General features: G+C 39.0%; 1 protein-coding gene across 1 annotated transcript in view; it reads left to right on the top strand.

The window, feature by feature from the left end:
* Window positions 1-21,681, top strand: part of SERPINB8 (serpin family B member 8) — a 49,699-nt gene extending 28,018 nt beyond the window's left edge. The window contains exons 7-8 of the mRNA NM_001348367.2: window positions 6,721-6,782; window positions 20,812-21,681. Of these exons, the coding sequence (NP_001335296.1) occupies window positions 6,721-6,780 (60 nt within the window). The 3' untranslated portion in view covers window positions 6,781-6,782; window positions 20,812-21,681. The remainder of the gene's footprint in view (window positions 1-6,720; window positions 6,783-20,811) is intronic.

A 23,637-nucleotide genomic window follows, 5' to 3' on the forward strand; every position in this document is an offset into this window, starting at 1 on the left:
AAGGCTAAACATTCTGCTCAGGGACAGATCCTTCTGGTCAAAAAGGCCAGGATGTTCTTTGCAGGTTGATCACACTAGTCCCCTCATCCCATCCAGAGCATTCTGCTGGATCCTAAATGTAGTTGATGAGTTCTCTGTATTTGGACTAGTCATCCCCATGTGTTTCCCTGACTCAGGCAACACTCTTCAGTCCCTCCAAAACCATATTTGTTTATTTCTCTGGCTTCCTGAATACATTGTATCTAATAATGGCCCAAACGATACATTTGCAGCCCAAACTATACATGGGTCAAATTATGAGGCATGATGGATTCTCCATGCTCTGTATCATCTACAAGCCACAGCAATGATCGCATATTTTAACAGGAAAAGAACAGGTTGAAGTGGCTGATGGAAATGGACAATATAATCCCAGCCTGGCTACATGTCTCAGGTGTGCAATTTGGGGTCTCACTGCGGCAATTCTCTAAGTGCACTTCTCATTTGTGCTGTGTGATTGATTGGGCTATCTGTCTCTTTCCCTCAGTTGCACACCCCTCTTTTAAAATTATTGGCAAATCAGTTTCCATGGTGGATCATGCAAGTTCCCTCCATCCTTTTTGAGCCCTTCCTGAAGACCAAAATCAGTGGGAGATCAGGAAGGCTACTAAACAGCACAGATTGGGAGGCATGAACTTGCTTCTCCATTTACTCCCTGGTTGCAGTGCCTGAATTTTGCCTACAAGGACTTCAAAGATAATAACCATCAATTCAATGTCTCAACATTTTCCCTAAGGTGGCCCTGCTGCTTTACTCCGTGTAGCCCCATGGGATACATATCAAATATCAAATAGAAACTTTGATGGAACCCCAGGAGAAGCCAAGCCAGAATATTTAGGTTCACCATTCTAAGAATGAATTAAGAGCACTATTCTTGCTCATGGCACGGGACAGACTGCCCATGTCACAGTCAATGAGGAGTCTCCTGAACTAATAAGACATGAGAACCTTTGGTCCTGTGAACTCAGATACGGGGCAAGAAGTGGGATCTAACCTCTCTCCTCTCTCTCATGGGTAGTCTGTGTGACTCTGGCCTTACAAAATTCATTCGTAGGCCTGACTCAGGCAGCTGCCATCATGCTGAACTTGACTAGTAGTTGGATATGCCACTCACTCCTTGACCCCATATGTAAATCTTTGGCTGCCATGCCACTGAATAGCATGAGTGGACATTTCTTCAACTATGGAGCTTTCTGGCATCTCAGGTGCCCTAACACACCCGGACCCAATGTGTTACCTGATATGTGGACCCTGGTACTGTAGGAACGAAATGACTTCCTAGTTGTCAACTCAATGCTGTTCCACATGGGAGCAACTGGGAAGAGGAGCCTGGGTCTGTTACTGGGCTATTTTGGCCTTGATGGTGGTGACCTTCTCCTCTCCTCCACTTGTCCCCTCCTTGTACAGACTCTTCAGTTCCACTCAGGGACTCTGCCTACTGCCTACCAAGAAGGACTTCTAGGGGGTTGAACCTTATGGTAGTCAATGACTCTTACACTCCCAACCCGATGTATACCTTTAGAGTATTCTTTCTTTTCTAAACACCAGGCCTTTACCTTCCTTTTTGATAGCCTTGTAATCTGCACGAATGGGGCATTAATAAGAGTTTTTCAAATATTCCAAGCAACCTCTCCCAAGGAGCATGTTGCACCAGGCTGAGTAAGGCATGAGCTCCAGAACCAAGCCTACCCTGGTTACTTGGAGGGCTTACCGGGTGAGAAGCACTGCTGACCCTCTTTGCTCATGTGTATGCTCTGGGTGGTTTTTCCCACTGCTCAGGTCCCTCAGTGAGAAAAGGTTGTGCACCTGTCTCTTACCATCACTGAGGTCATTAACAACACTACCTTAGTTTTGGAGACACAACAGATCAGCCTCAGCTCTTTGGTTTGAGTATTTGAGCAGCTGCATAGCCCTGGACTTCCAGCTGGCCAGCCAAGGAGAGTCTGTGCCACTGTCAACACCTCGTGGTGCACCTGGATCAATGAATCTGACAAAGTGGAAGAGTCCGGCTCTCTAAAGCAGACTCTGCTGACCTTTGAAACATCTTATCCTGGATTGGCATTGTTGGGGGCTCATGGCTATGTTTAATCTTCCAAGAAGTCCTTATCATCCTATTTGGAAACATTTCAATGATGAACTTGGTCCATTGCTGGCTCAGACTAATTACCGGGTTATTGTCATAATCCCGCAAATTCCATTTATTTAGGACCATGATAGGGTAGTCTTTGCTTCTTTCAAGGATCCTGAAAAATTAAGAGGTGAAGTTGAAGAGTACAACTTCAGGACAAAATCCTAAATGGAATCTTTCAGGCCCAACCATATGCAATTACAGATATTCTACTCTTGGGTGAAATCTGCCCTTCTCCCACCAGACTTCATAGCTAGTGCTTTGTGATCTCGGGAGGGAGGCACCATCAAAGGCTTAGGACCCCCTGGGCCAGCCATGCCCTGTGCCTACCTGCATTTCTAGCTCTGGCCCCTCCATTCAGAGGCCTCCTTATGGGGCAGGGGCTCTGTTGGGACACTGCCAAGACCTCCTTATTAGGGGGCCTGGAGATACTTTTCTCCACTCTGACTCAATACTCGGTGCTTTTCCATTACTAGCTCTTCCCCTTCCTCCAGACTCCAGCTCCAATCTCCCTCTCTCCCCTGCCCCCACAAATGAATAAAAGCCTGACTGTCACTCTCCCATTTGGCTCAGTGTCTTAATGGACCACCTCAACACCTGGCAGCTCTCTCTAACAATTGTGGACTTTTTATCTTCATGGTTACATTTGGTTTTACTTCATGTATTTCGAATCTCTCTTACTAGCAGAGGAATAAAAATGTAGGATTGCTATGTAGGATTTGACCTCCTTTATCATGATGAAATAACCTTCTTCATCTCCAGTAATATTCTCCACTCTGAGATATACTTTGTTAGATGTTATTATAGTCACCCCAGCTTTCTTTTGATTAGAATAGTATGTTGCACATTTTACCTTCATTTACTTTTAACCTATTTGTGTAAATGCAAGGTGAATTTCTTGTAGACAGTATATGTTTGGGTCTTACTTTTAACCAGTCTGACAATCTCTGTTTTTTAACGGAATCAAGAATGAGTACTAAGGAAGTGAATTTTTTTATAATGTCCTAGAATTAGTGGTGATAGTGTCACGAGTCTGTGAATATACTAAAAATCACTGCATTGCACGTATTAAAAGGGTGCTTTTTAGTATGTGAATTATATCTCAATGAAACCATCATTTAAAAAATCAGAGTGGGGACCTAAGGCACTACTGTAAGGAGGCACTCGATTTAAGGATTCTGCTTTCTTTTCTTTTCTGTTTGTTTGTTTGTTTATTTATTTATTTATTTATTTATTTACTTAGAGACAGAGTTCTGCTCTTGTTGCCCAGGCTGGAGTGCAATGGAGCAATCTCTGCTCACTGCAACCTCCGCCTCCTGGGTTCAAGCAATTCTCATGCCTCAGCCTCCCAAGTAGCTGCGATTATAGGCGCCCACCACAGTCGCTAATTTTTGTATTTTTAGTAGAGACAGGGTTTAATCACGTTGTCCAGGCTGGTCTCGAACCCCTGACCTCAGGTGATCCGCCTGCCTCAGCCTCCGAAAGTGCTGGGGTTACAGGCGTGAGCCACCGCGCCCGACCCGTGCTTTCTCAACTTTTGTACCCTAGACACCTGCTTGCCCCACCCTAATCCAGGCTCAAGTTAGAATGCACGGATTCTGGCTACTTTGAAGGGCATCTACTGGGGGACAGGTCTGGGAAACGCTTTCTACTTCAGTAAGTCATTTGTTCTGTTCTCTTCCTCTGGACATCTTGTCCTGGACGTGAAATGCTTCCAGTTGCGGAGGCCCCTTGTGACCAACCTGAGGATGAAGTTGGGGCAGTGAGTGAGGGAGAATGTGAGTCTCTGATGACATCACGGGCTGCTGAGTCAGCCTGAAGCCCGCCCTGCCTCTGAACCCCCCGATAGAGGACGTAGCAGTGTCCCCAGCCACTCTGTGTCTGAGCCACGCAGTCTGCACGTGTTTCTGTCATGTGCAGCCCAGGGACAGAACCACTCACACTTAGCACCGTGGCTCCAGCGCCAGGGGTGGAAAAGAGCTTAGGTGTCAGGAGTTAGGACGCCTGGCTCTGTATATGGGGTCAGGAATGCTACTAATTACTTGTGGCACACATCATTTTCTTTTCAGGTGAGTCCCTGATACATGTAAGAAATAAAGACCCAAGGCTCCTCCCTACTCTGAAATAGGAGTCCGCCACCCTCCCTTTGCTTGCTTGAAACAGAAAAGCCCAGGGTCCCAACTTCTCTTGCCCCTCCTCCAAAATCCTCTCTATGTAACAGCCCAAAGCGTGGATGAGTCCTTTGCACCACCAGCTTCCCCTGGGTTTCGGCCTCCAGTTAATTTCAAGACACTTTCCCTTTCAGAATCGTTTTGGAGTCCTCCTTGCAAGAGCAGGAGGCCAGTGCGCTCAAGCCAGCCCTGGGTCCCCCGCGGGGCCCTCGCGTGCGGTCACCTGCTCTTCCCGCGGCGGGGTGAGGCCTTGGAGAAGCCGGGGAGGGCGGGTGCTGGGGAAGGGGCGTCGGCCGACCCCGCCCCGGGTCCCCCACGCGGCCCCAGCCTCTCCCAGGAGGTAGGGACTCACCCCGACCGCGGGTCCGCCCTCGGTGCCGACTCGTGCCCCACCGCCGCCTGCAGTCGCCGCCGTCTGTGGTCGCCGCCGCCTGCGGTCGTGCCCTTTGAGAAGGAAGGCAGAAGGCCCCCAAGCCGGCGGGGCCGGGATAATAAGGTCTGTGGGTGTCTGCAGGCCCGAATGGAAGCCCCCGGCACGCTCAGCCACCAGTGCCCGGGAGTCCTGCGTTCTTGGCCGTCTGACCGCATTTCCATCTCCTCTCCTCGCATTCTCTTCTCAGGCACCTGCCTACTGACACCTGGCCTCAGTCTTCTCAGGAAAGGTCCTGCTAAAACTAGCGCTCCAAATCCACTTCTAAGTGCAAGCACTTCTTGTCCCTCCTAATTCTTTTATTCAGTTCCACGTTGTCGAGCCCCCTTTTACCCAGCACTGTTCCTGATGCTGAGTTGGGGCCACCGGGACTGATTTTAGAGAGTTTGCCTGGTAGAGGAGCTGCCAATCACAGGAGTAATGACAATGCAGTGATTGATGGGTTAGTCTGAGGAAGTGCAGGTGGGAAAGAGTGAAGTGGGGACCATCTCCAGGGTAGGGACTGGGGAAGCCGCTGAGGCAGTGATGTTGAAGTAAAGGCATAGATTATGTGCAAATTCCATGGCATTTTATATCAGAGACTTGAGCACCGGGGGGTATTAGTATCTGTGGGAGGTCCTAGAACCAAACTCCATTGGATATTGAGGGACAAATGTGTGTGTGTGTGTGTGTGTGTGTGTGTGTGTGTGTGTATTTGTTATGAGAAATTGGCTCATGCAATTACGGAAACTGAGAAGTGCTAAGATCTGCAGTAAGCAAGCTGGAGATTCAAGAAAGCTGGTGGAGTAGTTCCAGCCTGAATGTGAAGGCCTGAGAACCTGGAGAGCTGGTGGTGTAAGTTCCAGTCAGAGGGCAGGAGGAGACTGATGCTCCAATTCCAGTGTCAGGCAGGTGAAATTTCCTCTTACTCAGACATTTTGTTGTATGCAGGCCTTTGGTTGACTGGAGGGGGGCCACCCACATTAAGGAGGGCAGTCAGCTTTACTTGGTGTACCATTGCAAAATGTCAGTCTCACCCAGAAACACCCTCACAGACATACCTAGCATAATGATGTTCCAAATGTCTGGGCATCCTGTGGCCCAGAAAAATTGATAAACAGAATTAACCATTGCACATTTTAAAATTACATTCTATTTGGCCTCTGGAGGATATACACACTCTCTTTCTCACTCTGACATGGTATTGCTTTCCTAGTGGGTATTGATTTCTTGTTTAAAATAAAATAATCTCTTTTTAAAGGAAAAATTTTATGGAGTATTTGAGAAAACTGTTTTGCCTATATCTTTTTTGGAGACCGGAAGACAATAGTGGTAATTTTAAAGTGTTTTTCTCAACAGATAAATTTTCTTAAATATAGAGGAAGACATTCACCAGAGTTTCCAGCCACTTGTCATTAAGTTAAAAAACCTGGCACTCAGTATTTGCTTAGCATGGCTAACAGGCTTGCTGAAAAGAAAAAAAGCCTTGAAAATTCCTCTCAGTAAGTTGAATTGATATAAAATAAAAGCGGTATAGAGAAGAGGAAAAAAGCCCTAGAGAACTTGAGAAATTTATGGCAATTAAATAATTACAATAACTATATTTTGAATTATTTCCAAATTGGCTACTTCTAAAATTCACTTACTAATCTGTGGTTATTCATGGTTTGGCATATACCTATTTATAAACTGTGATATTTTAACATTTAAAAGATTATGATAAGATCACTTTTAAGAGCTATGTATATTATTTTAAATAAAAAGTATATTTTAATATTTCAGAATATTTGGAAATTTGAAAGCTTGCTGATTTTTATTTATTTTTACTTCACTTATTTATTTACATTCATTTTATCTAGCAATGGTGCCACACTGAACATTTTTCTCTACAGAAACTTTAAAGGAATGCTTCTGTTGTTTAGTGTCATTATCTCCAAGAATGTAACAAACTCTCATCTTGTGCCTCCTAACAGGATACACTGAGAAGCACAAGCTTCTTCTGTGACATTCTTGCCAACATTATCAGCACCTGAGTGTAAGTACAGAAACATCAGACGGCATTGAATTGAGGGATATTCTACCAAATAATTGGCTGAAACTCTCTAAAAGAGGCAATGTCATAAAAGACAAGCACTGTGGAAGTGCCACAGGAGGATGTGTGATAACTAATTGCAACCTGCGAGCTTCTTTGGGTCCCACAAAACACCTGAATAAATACAAAAGAAGACATTCAAATGTCCAAGAAGGAAATATAAAAGGATTTGGTTATGGTAGTTATCAAGACATTCATATGAAATGCACAGTGAAATACCACCACAACTCTACCAAAGTAGGTAAAATTAAAACCACTGACAACATCAAGAGTGGGCAACGATGTAGAACAACTGGAATTCTCCTACATTTTTCTTGGGAATAAATTAGTAAAGACACTCAAAAAATTGGCCATATCTACAAAAGCCTAATAGTGTTGAAGCAAACGTTGCACTAAGCAAAGTTAAGCATGTCCTATAACCTGAATGCCGTCTTCCACCAAAATTTATATGTTGAAACCCAACATCCAATGTATCAGTATTAAGAGGTGGGACCTTTGGGAGGTGATTAGGTCCTGAGGAAAAAGCCCTCATAAATGGGATTGATGTCCTCATAAAAGGGGCCCCAGAGAACTACCTTGCCCCTCTGCCATGTGAGTACACAGTGAGAAGGTGCCATCTATAAAGCAGAGAATAAGCCCTTACCAGACATCAAATATAATGGTACTTTGATTTTGGACTTCCCAGCCTCTAAAATTGTACGAAATAAATTTATGTTGTTTATAAGCCACCAAATTTATGGTCTTTTGTTTAGCAGCCTGAACAGACTAAGATAGCCTGTAAGGAAGTGTTTATTCAATGCTATTACTATAGGGGAGAGAGATCAGATCTCAGTCTGTGCTCAACTTCACTAAAACAAAGGGCTGGAGAGTTTTTGAGAACTGGGGTGGGGAGAGGTATTAGGACATGTGGGTTTTCTACTTGGCCTTACCTAAAGGAAAAATAAATTTTCTCATATCTTCATGGCAGGAGGTAATTTTACAACTTCAAGCAAGGTGCCCGCTGATATTATTCTCCCACCCTCCCACAGAAACAGGGAAATAAGATGCTATCTTCCTTGATGATTTTTGAAACAGCTCCCAGGTCCTTAGGAAAGAGTCCTGCATTGAAAAATTGTCAAGAGGCTTTTAAAAAGATTTACATGTCCAAGGAACAGAGAAATCATCGACAATGACAAGTTTTCTAAAGTCAGTGCTCTGATAAAATGGCCATGTGGTTATGTCATCTGGATTCCGTGAGTGCTGGGATGAGAGGGAGATCAGGCACCTAGAGGCAAGAAGAAACCTATTTAAAGATAGTCAAGCTGAGGGAAAGTTAAGGCTGCCTTAGTACATAGGTATATTCTGTGGCCAAGTGTTATGGATTGAATGTTTTTGTTTCAAATTCATATGTTGAAGCTCTAACCCCCAATTTGATGTTTTTCAGAGATGGGGCCTTTGGGAGGTAATTTGAGTTATATGAGGTCTTGAGAATGGGAACCCTCATGTGGGATTAATGCCCTTAAAAGAAGAGAGACTAACACACCGAGGAAATGCCACATGAGGACACAGAGATGGCAGCTGTCCACAACCCAGGAAGAGGGTCCTCTCTAGAACCCAGACATGCTGGCACCCTAATTGCAAACTGCCAGCCTCAAGAATGCAAACCAAATTTCTCTTATTTAAGCCACCCAGTCTGTGGTATTGTATTATGGCAGTCAGAGACGATGGAAGTAGCGTGGGGTAATTGACTAGGAGTCTGGAAATACTCTATGTCTTGATCTGGTGATAGTTACATGGATTAAAATTATTAGCTATTATTTTGAAAATCACTAGGTATATACTTATGACTAGAGTACTTTGTATAAGTTCTAATTCAATGACAAAATAAAGTAAAATAAAAACTTTTGGGGTACAGCTAAAATGGAACTTCATGGGAATTTGTAGATTTTGATGTCTGTATTAGAAAAAACAAGGCTGAAAAAAACCTATGCATCCAACTTAATTAGAAATGTGTAAGTAGAATAAACCCAAATGACTCAGAGGAAAGAAAATACTAAAAATAAAAGAAGATACTTATGAAACAGCAGACAAACAATATAATAGAGAGGATCTAAAAAATGAAAACTTGATTCTTTGAAAAAGTAAAATAACCTCCAGAAAGATTAACTGCAATGAAAAAAATACAAGATGGCACAGATAAAAAAGAGTAAAAATGAAAAAGGAGACATAATTATAGATGCAGCAGAGATTACAATATAATAAAATAATACCATAAACAACTTTATGTCAATATATTTGAAAACCTAAGAGAAACAGAAAAGTCTTCAAGAAGATGTATAATTTACAAAACCAAATTTGTAAGGAAAAAAACAACCTGAATGAGCCTATAAACATTTAAAAAATTAAATCAAAAATTTAACGTTCTCCCATAGAGAAAACACCAGTTTCAGATGATTTTACAAGTAAATTTCAGCAAACGAAAAGAAAGAGATGATCTACATTTACAAAAAGAATATCTTGCCATTATTTTAAAAATAAAAGCGTACTCTTCAACTAATTTTATAAAGCTAATATAACTTTGATACCTGTATTAGTCCGTTCTCTCACTGGTATTATAAATACCTGAGACTGGCAATTTATAAAGAAAAGAGGCTTAATTGGCTCATGGTTCTACAGGTTGTACAGGATTCTGCTTCTGGGGAGGCTTCCAGAAACTTAAAATCATGGCGAAAGGTGAAGAGGAAGCAGGCATGTCTTACATGGTTGGAGCAGGAGGAAGAGAGAAAGGGAGAGGTGCTATGCCCTTTTATACAATCAGATCTCATGGTAAGTCACTCACTCTCATGAGAACAGCACCAAGAAGGAAATCTGTCCTTGTGATCCAATCACCTCCCACCAGGCCCCACCTCCAACACTGGGGATTACAAGTTGACATGAGATTTGGGCGGGAACACAGACCCAACCCATATCAATACCAAAATCAGATATGAACTGTACAAGAACAGAACATCAAAAGCCAGTCTAAACTGTTGGATAATAGGTATGTTCTTAATATTTTGTTACTTAATTTTTAATTAATTAATTAATTATGACAAATCAAACCCAAAGTTATTATAAGACTATTATATGAAAAGTATTTTGTATCATAAAATGTAAGGTTGGTGCAACATTTAAAAATGAATTTTTATGCTTTACCAAGTTGACAGGTTAAACAAAATGAAAGAATTGCTCAATTACTTCAAGAGGTGTGGAAAAAACATTCATTAAGCTTTAACACGTATTCAGGAGAAAAATTCTTAATAAACAAAGGAGAGAGGGGATTTCCAGTACCTTTTTATTTTTTTGACACAGAGTCTCGCTCTGTCACTCAGGCTGGAGTGCAATGGCATGATCTCGGCTCACTGCAACTTCCACCTCCCAGGTTCAAGTGATTCTCCTGCCTCAACCTCTTGAGTAGCTGGGATTACAGGCCCCTGCCACCACGCGGGCTAATTTTTTTTTTTTTAATTTTTACTAGAGACAGGGTTTTACTATGTTGGCCAGGCTGGTCTCGAACTCCTGAGCTCAGGTGATCTGTCTGCCTTGGCCTCCCAAAGTGCTAGGATTGCAGATGTGAGCCACCATGCCTGGCCCATTACTCTTATTCAGTAGTGAACCCTAGGTTTTGGCCAGAACAATATACAAAAGCATAATAATTTGAATAACAAAACAAAACCGTATTCCTAGATTATATGATTATAGGACTGCATCACAAATAATAGAGAATTATTAAATTCTCTATTATTCAAATATAATTATTTAAAATTTAAGTTATTCAAATATAATTCAAAAACAATTTGAGCATAGCAGATGCAAATCACGATAGGCCATACACTAGAGCCTAAACACTGGTCAGATTCTGGGGTTCAAACTCCAGTCTTGCACTTGCTAGAGCTCGTAGAAGGGTGAATTAACGAACCCTCTCAGTGCTTCAGTCTCCTAATCTGAGACGTGGTTATAATAACAGGACCTAGCTCATAGAGTTGTCGAGAGGATTTAATCAGTATATAAAGAGGTTAGCTCAGGACCTGGTACAGTAGAACGCAGCATACAGTTAGTAACTATCATTATTATACAAGAGCAATTTGCATTTTTATGCATCTAAATAGCAATAGTTAGAGAATGTCATTAAATTTGCACTAGCTCAAAAACCTTAAGATTCTTAGGAATGATAATTAACAAAAAATAAGCAAGATTGTTATGTTGAAAATTATCAAATGCTATAGAATGTCATTAAAGATGACCAAAATAAATGGAGCTATTTCATGTCATTCATAGAAAGACCTTGAGTTGAAAAGTTGTCAGTTCTCCCTCACTTGTCTTATTGATGCAATGTAATTCTAGTCCAAATCCTAGCAATGTGTTCTGTGGAACTTGAAAAATGTATTTAAAAATTTACATAAATAAGCAAAGGGCCAAAATAACCAAGACACTTCTAAAGAAAAAGATCAAGTTGAGAAGATTTGCTTTAGCAGACATTAAAACTTATTATAAAACTCTAGTGATGTAGCATGGTGTGTACACAGGGATAGACAAACAGATCAATGGCACAGAATAGAGAGCTGAGCTCAGAAGCATAGTTCTCTTCATATGTGGAAATGTGAGATGATAAAGAACTGGCATTAGAGATCCGCAGGGAAATGATCGCCCAGTGTAGTGTGCTGGGAAAACTGATTTTTCTTATGTAAAAGATGAAAACCAAAGAATTGCTGACAACCCATTTATGCCGGAAGCTGCAAAAGTTTTTTTGTGAAGAATCAGACCTTGATGATGACCTTGAGCAGTTGGATATCAATAATGCCCACAAGCTTAGCATTCCGATAATGGGACACTAGGTATAAATGGGCTAATAAGTTAACTGTTGAAAAAATTAAAGTTCTACCAGAAAGTATGGCAAAATAATTTATAACCTTAGTGAAGTGAAGGATTTTTGTCATATATTTGTGACAAAACAATAAGAGGAAACAATTGAAAAAATCAACATTAAAATACATGTATTTAAATTACTTTAAAAATATATCATAAAAATTATAAAAATACAAACAGAAACTAAGAGATGATAGTTTAGCACATTTAACCATAAAAAGATAATTATCTTAAATATGAAGTATTTCCATGAAAGAATCTGTGAGAAAAAGGCAAACAACCACATTGAAAAATAGACAAAGATCTGAACAGCTACTTCACAAAAGATAAAATAATAAAAGGCCAATAAACATATGAAAAGATGTTCAATCTCATTAATAAGAGAAAACAAACTAAAATAGAAATTAGAGAACGGACTCTAAATTTTAAAAGTCTGTTGATACCAAATCTTGGCAAACATCAATAACAGTCCTTGCACATGGCTGGTGGGAACAGGCATTGGTAAAACCACTTAGGAAAATGATCTCGCATTACTTAGTAAAGCTAAGATATTCTACTCCTAGTTAGAAACCCTAAAGAAGCTCTTGCATATATGTTCAGAAGACATGCAAAATCATACTCATAGCAAGAAAAATAAATAGAAATAATAAATAATGAATTATTCAAAGGAACAAATGATATTGCACTCATACAGTAGAATCACAGTCATCATCTTGCTCAGTTCTGGTGCGCTGTTCCCATGGTCAGCACTATTCATATAGAACACAATGTTACTAATACTGTTGGGAGGTTGTACAGCTTTGGATGGAATACCACACATTATGGAAAATTAATTAATAACAGCTACCAACACAAAACATCATGCAGAGCAAAAATAGCAGGTGTCAATTCCCTTTGTATAAAATCCAGGAATAGGTAAACTGATCATTATGTTTTTTTAAGGTGCATATATATGGCAAAGGCATAAAAAATAATTATTAACACAAAATACAAGATAGTATTAAATCTGGGGGAAGGAATGAATGTGATCCATTAGATCAATAAGAACTTCAAAGTCATTTATGATCTTCTGTTTCTTAAGCTGGGTAGTGGGTATTAGATGTTTATTCAACTTACTATTAACATATATATATATATATGTATATATACACACACACATTGTTTTATGAGCATGATATATTTCACAATAAAAAGAAATTTAACAAAAGAATGAAGAAATCATGGTATAAAATGATGTGACAAGAACTAAAATCAGCTAAGGGAGATGAATCTAAATTATGTAAATTTTATAATCAAACTAAGTGTAATTTCCCTACTAAAAGACAAAAATCTTTTAGATTGGAAATGAACAGCAGTGTTTTGCCAAATGTGGTTTTCAGTTAGCTTATCTCAAATAAAGTGACAAGAAATATAAATGTGAAATGATAGGCAAAGATGTATCAAGTAAATTTAAACAAAAAGACATCAGGTGTCAAGCTATTAATATAAAAAAGTAGACTTCAATGAAATAAATAAAAAAGCAGAAATGCTGTCATTTGGTATAGAAAAGGGTATGATTCATAGTGAAGATAAAATTCAAACTTTAATATGCCTCTTTCAATGTTGGACAGATGAACATAAAAAATAGAAATTTAATAAAAAGCTGAATATTCCACTGTGCTTAAGGCCCATATTAAGATCTATTTTTGTATATCTTCATGCTTCTGAAATTAAGATCTTGATGTAATTATCAGTGTCCATACAAGTGTGTATTTCATCATTGGTGCCTATATTGTTGTCACCGCAAGTTCATGTTGGTGCTGTATTTGTTGAGTAGAGCTGCCATTAATTTTGAAACAATGTATTGTTATTTGAAGTCGAAAATTTATTGTGAATGCTGAAAATTACTGAAATGGAATGGTGATGCAATAGTTGATATTAGGGAAGCAAATACTTATATTTGGATGAATGAGTGAAATTTACTGTTTTCTTGCAAAGCAATGCCCATGCTTTATAGGGACTAAGAAAGGCAGCCACCCTCCTTACAAGTGGAAGCTGGGCTATTGTATTAACTATACATACCATATGAAATAATGCCAACATCAAAACTTGCAGAAATGGTTTCAGAAGCTTGGAAGAAAATCTGAGTTAATAGTATTATGTTTGGTGACAGTTAGAAGTGTTTCATAATGCCCATGTCCTAAAGTTCCTGATGGTACAATAAGCAATATTGGGGTGAAAAATGAGCATATATGACCTTAAGACCCGTAACTATTTAAAAGAGTCAGACTGAATATGTTTTGAAATTATTTTACAAATATTTAATTTTATATATGATCAAGACTAATATATAATAAAATATATGTCTGAACATATCTAAAAGAACTCTTTACATATTTTAAAATAACAATTCAAGTGGATGAAAATGTGGCATCATAATTCAATTGCCAGAGCTTTTATTTCCTTAGTAATATGTGAAATAATAATGCATTTTAGAGATGAGGTCATTTTAGCATTTATGAAATATGGTACAATTTATTTAATTATTTATTTCCTTCCCATCTTACTGTCTAGAAAGTATACACATCAAATGCTGGGCCCTCTGAATTGATCTTTTACATCTCAACTTTTCTGTTTTCCATTCTTAAATCCTGAGATATTTTCTGAACTTTTTCTCGTAGCTCTTCTGGTTTATTTTTTTCAACAATGTTCTAAACTTCACGAACACTATCTTGCCTTTTGGTTATTCCTTTTTAATATCTGTGTATGTATGTGTGTGTGTGTGTGTGTGCGTGTGTGTGTAATGACTTCTTGAGTTAGCTAAAAATCCTATCAAAATTTTTAATATTCCTGTCTGAAATGTTTCTTTCGGAGTCAGCTCTTCTGAGTGTCAATCTTGGTTCTTGCATTGCAAACTAATGATGTTCTCCACAGCTCCTTGTAAATTTTGATTGTCCATTCATATCTAGTAATGATAATTTTGATTATTGAGGTAGGTAGCTGGTTTACGTAATCTCTACTGCTGAATACATGGGACACGTGTCTCAGAAAGTGTGACTAATTGGGCAGCCTGCTTTTTATGGACAAATATGTCGACCTGCATGTTGCGCAGGCAAAGAAGCCCGGAGGGGTGGCCCCTTCTAGCTACTTCCACTCCCCTTCCTCTGCCTTCACTCCCTTGAATTTCAGAATTAGAAGAGTTCTACTATTGGGCTCTATCAGCCACATTCAAATCTCCTTTTCTCTCAGGGCAGCTTTTAAGAATTACTTTCCAAAGAAGTTCACAATTTTTTTTTTCTTTAGGGAGTAATTCTGGGTTGCCGATTACTCTGCCAACAGAAAGATGGGAGCCATGGATCCATTGTGGTTCTGTCTCTTTCTTCCCCCCGCTCCAGTCAGTGTCCACTGGCTCATGAGCCTCTCTGAGAATTCTGATTCCCCCCAGTGCCTGGCATTCTTCTTTATGTGTACTGAGCAAGTTCCTCCACCCTGATTTATCCATCAATAGCCATATACATTATTACTTTCGGAAATCAACCCAAAACCTTCCAGCTACCATGGAATACCCTCCTATCTCCAAACCTTCCAGCTACCATGGAATACCCTCCTATCTCTCCAATTTTCTTTGGTATGTTTCCTTTTCCATTCTTACAGTCATTACAATAGGATATTTAGAGGTAAAGGAGGCAAGCTTATGTTCTTTATCTAATTTCACATGCCAACAGATTGCTATTTATGGATTGTCTCCTTGTGCCATTTCCTATTGTGGTAGTGTAGGTTATAATAATAAGCAAAAGAGATGCAAAACAATATAATTATTAACTGTCCTAACTAAGTGTTAAGAAAGGAAGCAAAGAATGCCATGAAAAGGTAACCTGGGAGACATATTTAGATTGGCAGTGAGGGAAACCCTCTTTGAGAAAGTACCATTTAAGATCTAAATTTTGGGTAAGGCTATGTTAATGGGGAAAGGTGTTCCGGAAAGAAGGAAGAGCATGTGCAAAATCCTGATGGTGAAAGATGATGCTTATTGAAGGAGAACAGAAACAGTGTCTATGTGGAAGCAGAGTTATGAAACAGAAGGGGAATGGTAGCAAAAGAAACTAATGAGGCCGGTAGATTTGGAACATCAAAGTTGTTAAGTTAGGCCAGGAAAAAGACTTATATTCATAATTCATGCTATTGGCACCTTTTAAAGAGTTTTGAGTTCAGGAGAGAAACACTTAAATTTGCAGTGTCTAAAGGTAATTTGGACTACTATATGGAGAATAAAATAAAAGGAGGCAAAAATAGAAACAAGAAGCCCAGTGAGAATATCATTTTAATAGTTCTTGGCAAGAGATGAGGGATATTAATTGAAAGTAGTGGAGTAGTGTATGCAGAAAAGGAAATTGTTAGAGACATATTTCAAGGAGGAATCATAGGTTCTCATGTTGGACAGAATGTACCAGGATAGGTATGGGAATAGTGAGGGCAGATAAATTATACAAGGATTTGGGATAAGCAAAGGACTGAAAAGAGGTGCCTTTCTTGCTGAAGGCTTTGGGTGAGATGGGGACCAAGGGTTCCATTTTGAACCTGTTACAATTGAGGTTCCTGCAATGTATACATTTAAATTTCACAAAGGTAGCCTCATAGCTGGGTATGAAGCTTGGGAGAGAATTCTAGATGGATGAAAGGGCCCTGGGAATGGCTGGGAACGCTGAAGACCTCAGAAGAGAGAGTGTGGGCTGAGCATCCTATCAGCAATCCTTCCTCATGCCAACTCTCTCAGTCTTTTCATGCCAGACTCCTTTCACTGTGATCATCCTGTTTCATAAATAATATATCTTGTTTTTGTTGCATATTCCAAACAGTTTCCACACATTATCTTTGGATTCTACGGGACATCATTTTCAGATTATCTTTTTTCTGAGTATTTTGCATGCTGCTTCTTTTCCTTTGATCGAAGATTGTTCATCTCTTCAGGCTCCATGCCGTTTTTAAAAATTCCTACTTATTCTTGAAAAAATGTGAGACCTGTATATCTGGAAGGCAAATTGAGCTACCCAGATTCAAATCCTTTAGCCAGTTTCTGAAAGGCTAGCAATCTGAATATCTCGCCTCTTGAGTCAGCCTCAGGCCCTCTCCTATTAAGCACATTTTTTTAAAATAATAAATTTTACCTTTTGGGCCTTTTTATCTTTTCTCCTATCTATAATGTTTAATTCTGTAGGCTCCAGGTTTTAGGATGCACCATGCCTTCGCCAGCCCTCCATTCTTTTTGCCCATTATTCTTCCAGAACATACCATATTCTAGAAGCATAATGGGCAAAAAGTTTTTGTCCCTGTGGCTGTTGTCATGTGTCAGACAGACCTAACTTCAGAGAGCATCGGCCTGCCCAGTTGTGGGGGTGGACAAATACCAGGGTCCAGCATTTGGTGAACTTCAACTTCAGCCCTGACCAGGGCTGTCTCAGTAACCGGGCAAGGGTGGATTTGTAGATAGACTTCAGGAACTGGCTCCACGGAGGTAGGGAAGGCAGTTGCTAACAATTCCGAAGTCACTAACTAGTTATATGACCTTGAGCAAGTTACTTAAAATCCTTTGGGCTCAAATTCTCCTTTGAAACATAAAAGGGTTTGCCTAGATGATCCCTAAGTGGCTTCCAGCTTGACGTTCCTAACAAATCCGCAGCACAACACTATTTTGGGCCATATGCTTTCCTTTCTGCATTGAGATTTTTCATTACTTTGTAAGCTTTTCTTATTTCAAAGATGACTTTCGTTGTTAGAAATCTAACTTCACTCTGGTGTGCTTGTTATGTCGATACCTTTTTCATTTCAGTTAAGGGCTTTGATGATAGTTTCCAGTGAGAGCATGGCAAAATAAAATCATGTTTTCTGTTCTAACATTTGTTTCATCTTCATCTTTTGTCAGTGGAAATACCGCTATTTGTCATTTCAACATTTTCCAGCGACACTTCTTTCCTCATTTGGGGCCTTTGAAGTTTCTCTCATTAGAATGAAGCCCTTTGCTAACAGTTCTCCAGGGCTGCTGCTTGTGTCAGAGAAAGGGGTTTAGGCGAGCCTACTTAAGTGTTAAGCAATGTCTCTAGGCAATCTCCTTCTCCTCCTAATAAAAAGAGTGACATTCAATTAGAGAACCAAGGCTTGGAGGAAACGCCTGCCACAGGGCTCAGTGGCTCAAGTTGCTTTGCTGCTACTGTATGTTAGAAAGCTTATTTATACTAGACAGACCCTAGACACTTTTCCCCCCTGGAAAGTGTCCATGACCTGACAATTCCTTCCCAGAAAGAGGGCTGGGAGTCTGGGCCTGAGGGCTGAGGGGAGAGCTGACCCAGTATCCCTTTCTGAGAAGCACACTGGTGACTGAAGTGCTCAGTCAAGTCCTTCATCTGGGAAAGGCTTTGCTTATCCAATGGTTCACATGGTTTTCAGCAGGTGCAGAAAGAAAGCTTTCTAGCTATCTCTACTGAGACCGTTTTTCCCAAATCCCAAATTAGGGCACAACACAAGTGTGTTTTGGGAGACAACAGGTTTAAAATTATGTTTATTCCATAAAACCCAGGACCTACCTATGATATAATTCTTCAATGCAGGGTAGATTGCAGTAAGGTTTTTCATTTTTGTTTTTTGTTTGTTTTTTATTTGTTTATTTTTGTTTTTGTTTAGGTAGAGAGAAAAATCAACATGGGAGGAAGAGATAAACTTTTTTATTCTAAGGGAAGTCAGTGATTAAAAAGCGGTTTATGGGAAAGTCACAAAGATTCAATATTTGAATAGGGAGACAGTTTAGGAATATGCTAAATGCCTCCCTTATTTTATGGAATCGAAACTCAGAGAGTTTATATGGCTTGCTCAACACTAAGCACAGGTCCTTAAACATGACAGCAGTTAATATTTTCAGATTTCATCCAGGAGCATACATCTTGTTGGTGGAAGTCCTGAATTATGGGTATGGAAGACAAATGGGAACTGTGAGACCACTGTTGAAGAGCTGCTGAAGTTTCAAATCCCTCATTTTCCATGATATGTTCTAAACCTTGCTCTAAGCCCTAAGATTTGCATTATTAGAAGTAGTAACAGAGAATTGTTTTTGCACTTCCTTCTAGATTTGTAGATCTTCTTCTGCCAAGGTATGAAAAGAGAAATAGCAGCATCATCCTTGATTTCCACCTCTCTGGTGTTCCCATAGCCAATAAAAAACCTGTCTGTTCACAGCTCCACACACATTTTCCCTCTTCCCAAGGCCTAACTAGCTCTACTGCTTTAGTCTGAAGACTAGACTGTCCCTTCCTGAACCTATTCTTTAAATTGATATTAGGCTCATCATTTTACAAAGTAAATACAGTTATATCACACTCCATTTTTCGGTGACGTGAGGACATTTGAGCAGAAGCTTCCTGTTCCCCTGCTCTTCTCTTGACTTGGTTACAAATAGACCTCCAGGAATAGAGTCAGGATTAGGCCAAGGATGATTTCTTTCTATATGAATTCTAGTGTAATTTTAAAACTGCTTTAAAAATACTCAGGTACAAAAATACTGATTCTAAAACAAGCGTTTCCTATGAGGGTAGGAATCAGGTATAAATTTTATTGTATTCCATCAAGGAAGAGAGACAAACTTTGTGTATAGAGATCCATAGGTCAATCTGATTGACTTGATGATGATGATGAAGTTAACAAAAAGAAGCACAATTTTTCAGTATGTTCTACAATGCTAGGCACTGTATTAATACTTCCTGTACATGAACTAGTTGAATCTTCACAAAGCCCCAATGTGTTAATATCACCCTCCATTTTATATATGGAAAAAAACTTATTACTGAGAGATTTGAGATAATGGACCCCAAATCAAACACCTAATAAGGAGCAAAGAAAGATTTGAACTCACTGGATTGAACTTCCCTATGGAAACCCTGATCATTAGAGATAGCAGCAGCCTCTGCAGAGTGCTGAATCACATTGCACACCATCAGCCTCCTACCTTCTTTCCAAAAAGGATAAGTAAAATGACTTTTGCTCATTTATCTACTAATCATGACTGTGCATATGGAATTTTTTTGACTCTTATTTTGGCTGGAGACAAAAATTTTATTAGAGAAATACTAGTTATAATAATAATTTTAAAACTCCACCCTATTTAGAGCTACATTACAAACCATGCTGGTCACAATCACAATTGTCCCAGGTTAGAATTTCTTTCAGAAGTTCAAAAACAGACTAAAAACATTTCCAATATGATACCACTTGGTGTCGCCATTAGCCTGTATGAATTGAATGAGTGAGCTTTCCTTCTCATATATTCTAGACAAATGACAACTTTTTTATTTTAAAGAAGTACTTTCAGGTTAACTTGGAATGGATCTATCAGAATTCAGCTAACATTCTTGGTTTTTAATTTTATTTTTTCACAATGTAACAATGATCAACTTTAGGTTTATTTCAGAAGACACATTCCTGAACAAACAAATCTTCTGTAATTAAAAATAAAAAGCCTCAGTTATTGCATGCAAGTCTCTTGGTGCTTTGAATGGAAACAAAAGAACCAGAAGGAAACCCTTAAAAGTGTTTTCAAGAGCAAATCAATGCAAAGTGAATTGGAATGCTTAGAATTGATTTTTTACAACTAGTAATTTGATTAATATTACTCATCTAGTTTTATTCTGCAGAAGATTTTGTAAACATGTAGATCTATTAAAGTGGGTAGAAAAAATATTTATTGAATAATTATGAGCTAAAGACATTGTGTTTAGTGATTTACACATATAAAGTCTCATCATCATTATGACCATTTTAATTCTTTACTTTTGTTTACTGTTTTGCAGATAAATTTTAACGACTCTTATGAGGCAGAGGGCAAATATTAAAAATACTCAGAGAAACCATTGGAAACAAAGGGAATACAGGGAAAACATCTATGAATTACACTTCCTATTTTTCTGGTTTTATGAAAGCGTTCCAACGTTTATTAGACACACCTTGATATTGAAGTGCATATTTTCCTGGTTCTTGCTAAGATCATCAGAATACTTCAGGGCTTTAAGAAAAATATTAAAAACAAACAAAGTCAAAGAGAAAATGAATGTCTCTCATTTTTTTTTAGTTCTAAGGATTCTAACCTCCATTTATGATCAAACACCAGCTGGGTGAAGATCAAGGGCGGCCCAGATGCATGAGTGCCAACTACATCATGACTGTCACAATCTTTGTGCTGGTACAGATTTCATCTTCAGGTCTGGAGCTGTATAGAAAACTGCCTACTGGAAATTGTCCTTCAGATGTCTGCAGGCATTTCACACTTAACTTTCTTTCAAAATAAAGACATTTTCCATTCCTGCATCTGCTGCACCCCATACAGCCTTCATCTGATTTACCTCCTGTGATTCCAGTCTGTCTGAACAGCACCATCATCCAGTCAGTTCTCCAAGCCAGAAGCCCAGCAGTCATCTTAGACTTCTCCTTACTCTTGCCTCCTGCATCCAGTCACTTCTGTCTTCCTTGCCTACTTGTACTGTGTGTACTGATACATCTCATAATCTGTCTTCATCTCTCTGTACCTAGGGCCAGTGCTCTAATTCAAGTCCTCATCATTTCTCTCCTGGAAAAAGGCTGTTACTTCTTCATTCTTGCTCCCACTTCTCCTCGACTCCATCCTCCAGATTATTGCCAGAACCAATCACAGAAATCTAATTGAACAATACATCTGTTCACAACTTTCCAGTAGCTAACCAGTAGCTATAGGATAAACCACTCTCTTTCACGTTATATAAGAAAAGCCTTCAGTATCTACCCCATGTTTAATACTACACTACGCTGTTAAGATTTATGCCACAGCAACACTGATCTACCCAGTAAGTGGTCAGTACATTTTAGTTGAATTAATAAAGATAAGTGACAGTGTGATTTGATGGCCCATGAACTCCCGTATCAACCTCATCAATTGTCACCTCACCATTAAAACTATCTCCTTCCAGTCCTGAAGGTTTTATTGGGTTCAAAATTCCTAAAAAAGTAAGAAAGAAAGAAAGAAAGAAAGAAAGAAAGAAAGAAAGAAAGAAAGAAGAAATAAATAAATAAAGAAAGAAAGAAAGGAAGGAAGGAAGGAAGGAAAAAAGAAAGCAAGAAAGAAAAGGAAAGAAAGAAAGAAAGAAAGAAAGAAAGAAAATGTGAAAAGCTTTGGGAGTATTCAGCTTTCCTAGTAACTATGTACAACAGTTAGCTAACTAAGGATCTTCATTGTGCAGAGATGGATTCTGTGTTTAGAATCTGGGGCATGGCCAGAGGGTGCTGCAGGTATTCCTGACTTGCTTCACAAGGTGGCTTGGGGCCTTTGCTGGGAAGAACTCTGCTTTTGTAATTCTGACAGCTGGATAACCTTGGGTAAGTTACTCTAGTTTCTTTCAAGCAAAGTTAAAATAGCAACATTAACCTACCCCCCACAGGCATGTTAATAAGTACATTCTTCCCCAAAGTGCAATGTACGGATTTTCATTAGTCATAGGGCTACAATAATAGTTAATTGTCCCTAGTTCTTCTTGTTATTTACTGTTCACTCAACCAAAATATGTTACTGAAGGGACTGAGGGGAGAAAGTTGCAAAATATGCTGCTGTTCCAAATAAGTTGCCAAGATAATAAAAAACAATGTAATCAGACTGTGAGAAGACCTTCTGATTTCCATCCCAACTAATCATTAGAGATTCTATTGCAAACTAATTTTCTTATCTCTTATCTCTAAGTCAGCTCCTCTGCCAAGGACTTAAGGACTCAATTTATCATCTCCCTTAACAGGTGCCTTAGCTGCCAATGTGCCTGGGCCCTGGACCTGCCCAAATGATTTAAAGCAAAATTGATCGTGACTCACAATATTTATACTTTCGATCTTAAATACAAATGCCTAAATACTGAAGTAATAGACAATGCAACACTGATACTACATACTATATATACAACTTTCGTTCTCCCGATTTCTTCTTTTATATGACGTATAGTGTTCTTATAATCAACCAAATGTGTGATACCACAAAAGATCCTCTCTTTCCCCCTCATTATACCAGGATATGAGAAGAAAAAGGCAGGACAAAAGGAACGTTCAGAAAGCTGTATCTCTAGACACCAAAAATCAAAGCAGCTGACTTAGGCATATATTTCAGTTGACCCATCTCAATCTTTCCAATATACTCATTAGTCAACTGACAGGCCAACCAGACTGATTGGTTCTATATATTAAAGAAAGACAAACAAATCAGTAATTGCACTGAGTTTCTCAATAGAGGTGAATCATCACGGCATCAGAAGTATTAGAAATTACAGAAAGTTGGCCATTAAGGAGATTTTTACCTTGTTGACTTTTAAAAGTTATAACTAACTAAACATAGTGTGTATCTAGTCCAGTTTTGGACTTGACTGGATACATGCCTCCCAAGCATCTAGTCTGGAACCTTCCTTTTAAGCCCAGTAATAATTCCCTAACAAGAGGGTTCTGTCTCTTGACGTTTTATTACTCAAATTTACAGCCACCTCAACTATATTTTTACTTTGTTGTAAATTAATTGAAAATCATACTATCTGGATTTATTAATGTTTGAACTTTTAGATATTAGATATAATAAAAGCAGTTATTTTGCAAATGAGAAAAGTGAGACTTGAGTTTGTCCAACATGCATAGTTAATGGCACAGAGAAACAAGTATGGAAGTCATTCAAGAAAAAAAAATCAGATTTGAAGGGGCAAGTTTAACTTTACTTGGAAGATAATCTTCATTTCAATTTTGATTCCAGATAAAATGTGGCCTATTTCATCTACGTGTTGAACCATATAGACTGACAATTTTGTAGGTTTAATACATTGCAGTATGTTGTTACTTGTATTCCACTAAGCTGCGATCACAAGTAGCATGATTATTTCATATTAGTTGAGCATTTTTAAAG

This window comes from Homo sapiens, chromosome 18, assembly GCF_000001405.40.
Source record: "Homo sapiens chromosome 18, GRCh38.p14 Primary Assembly".
NCBI lineage: Eukaryota > Metazoa > Chordata > Mammalia > Primates > Hominidae > Homo > Homo sapiens.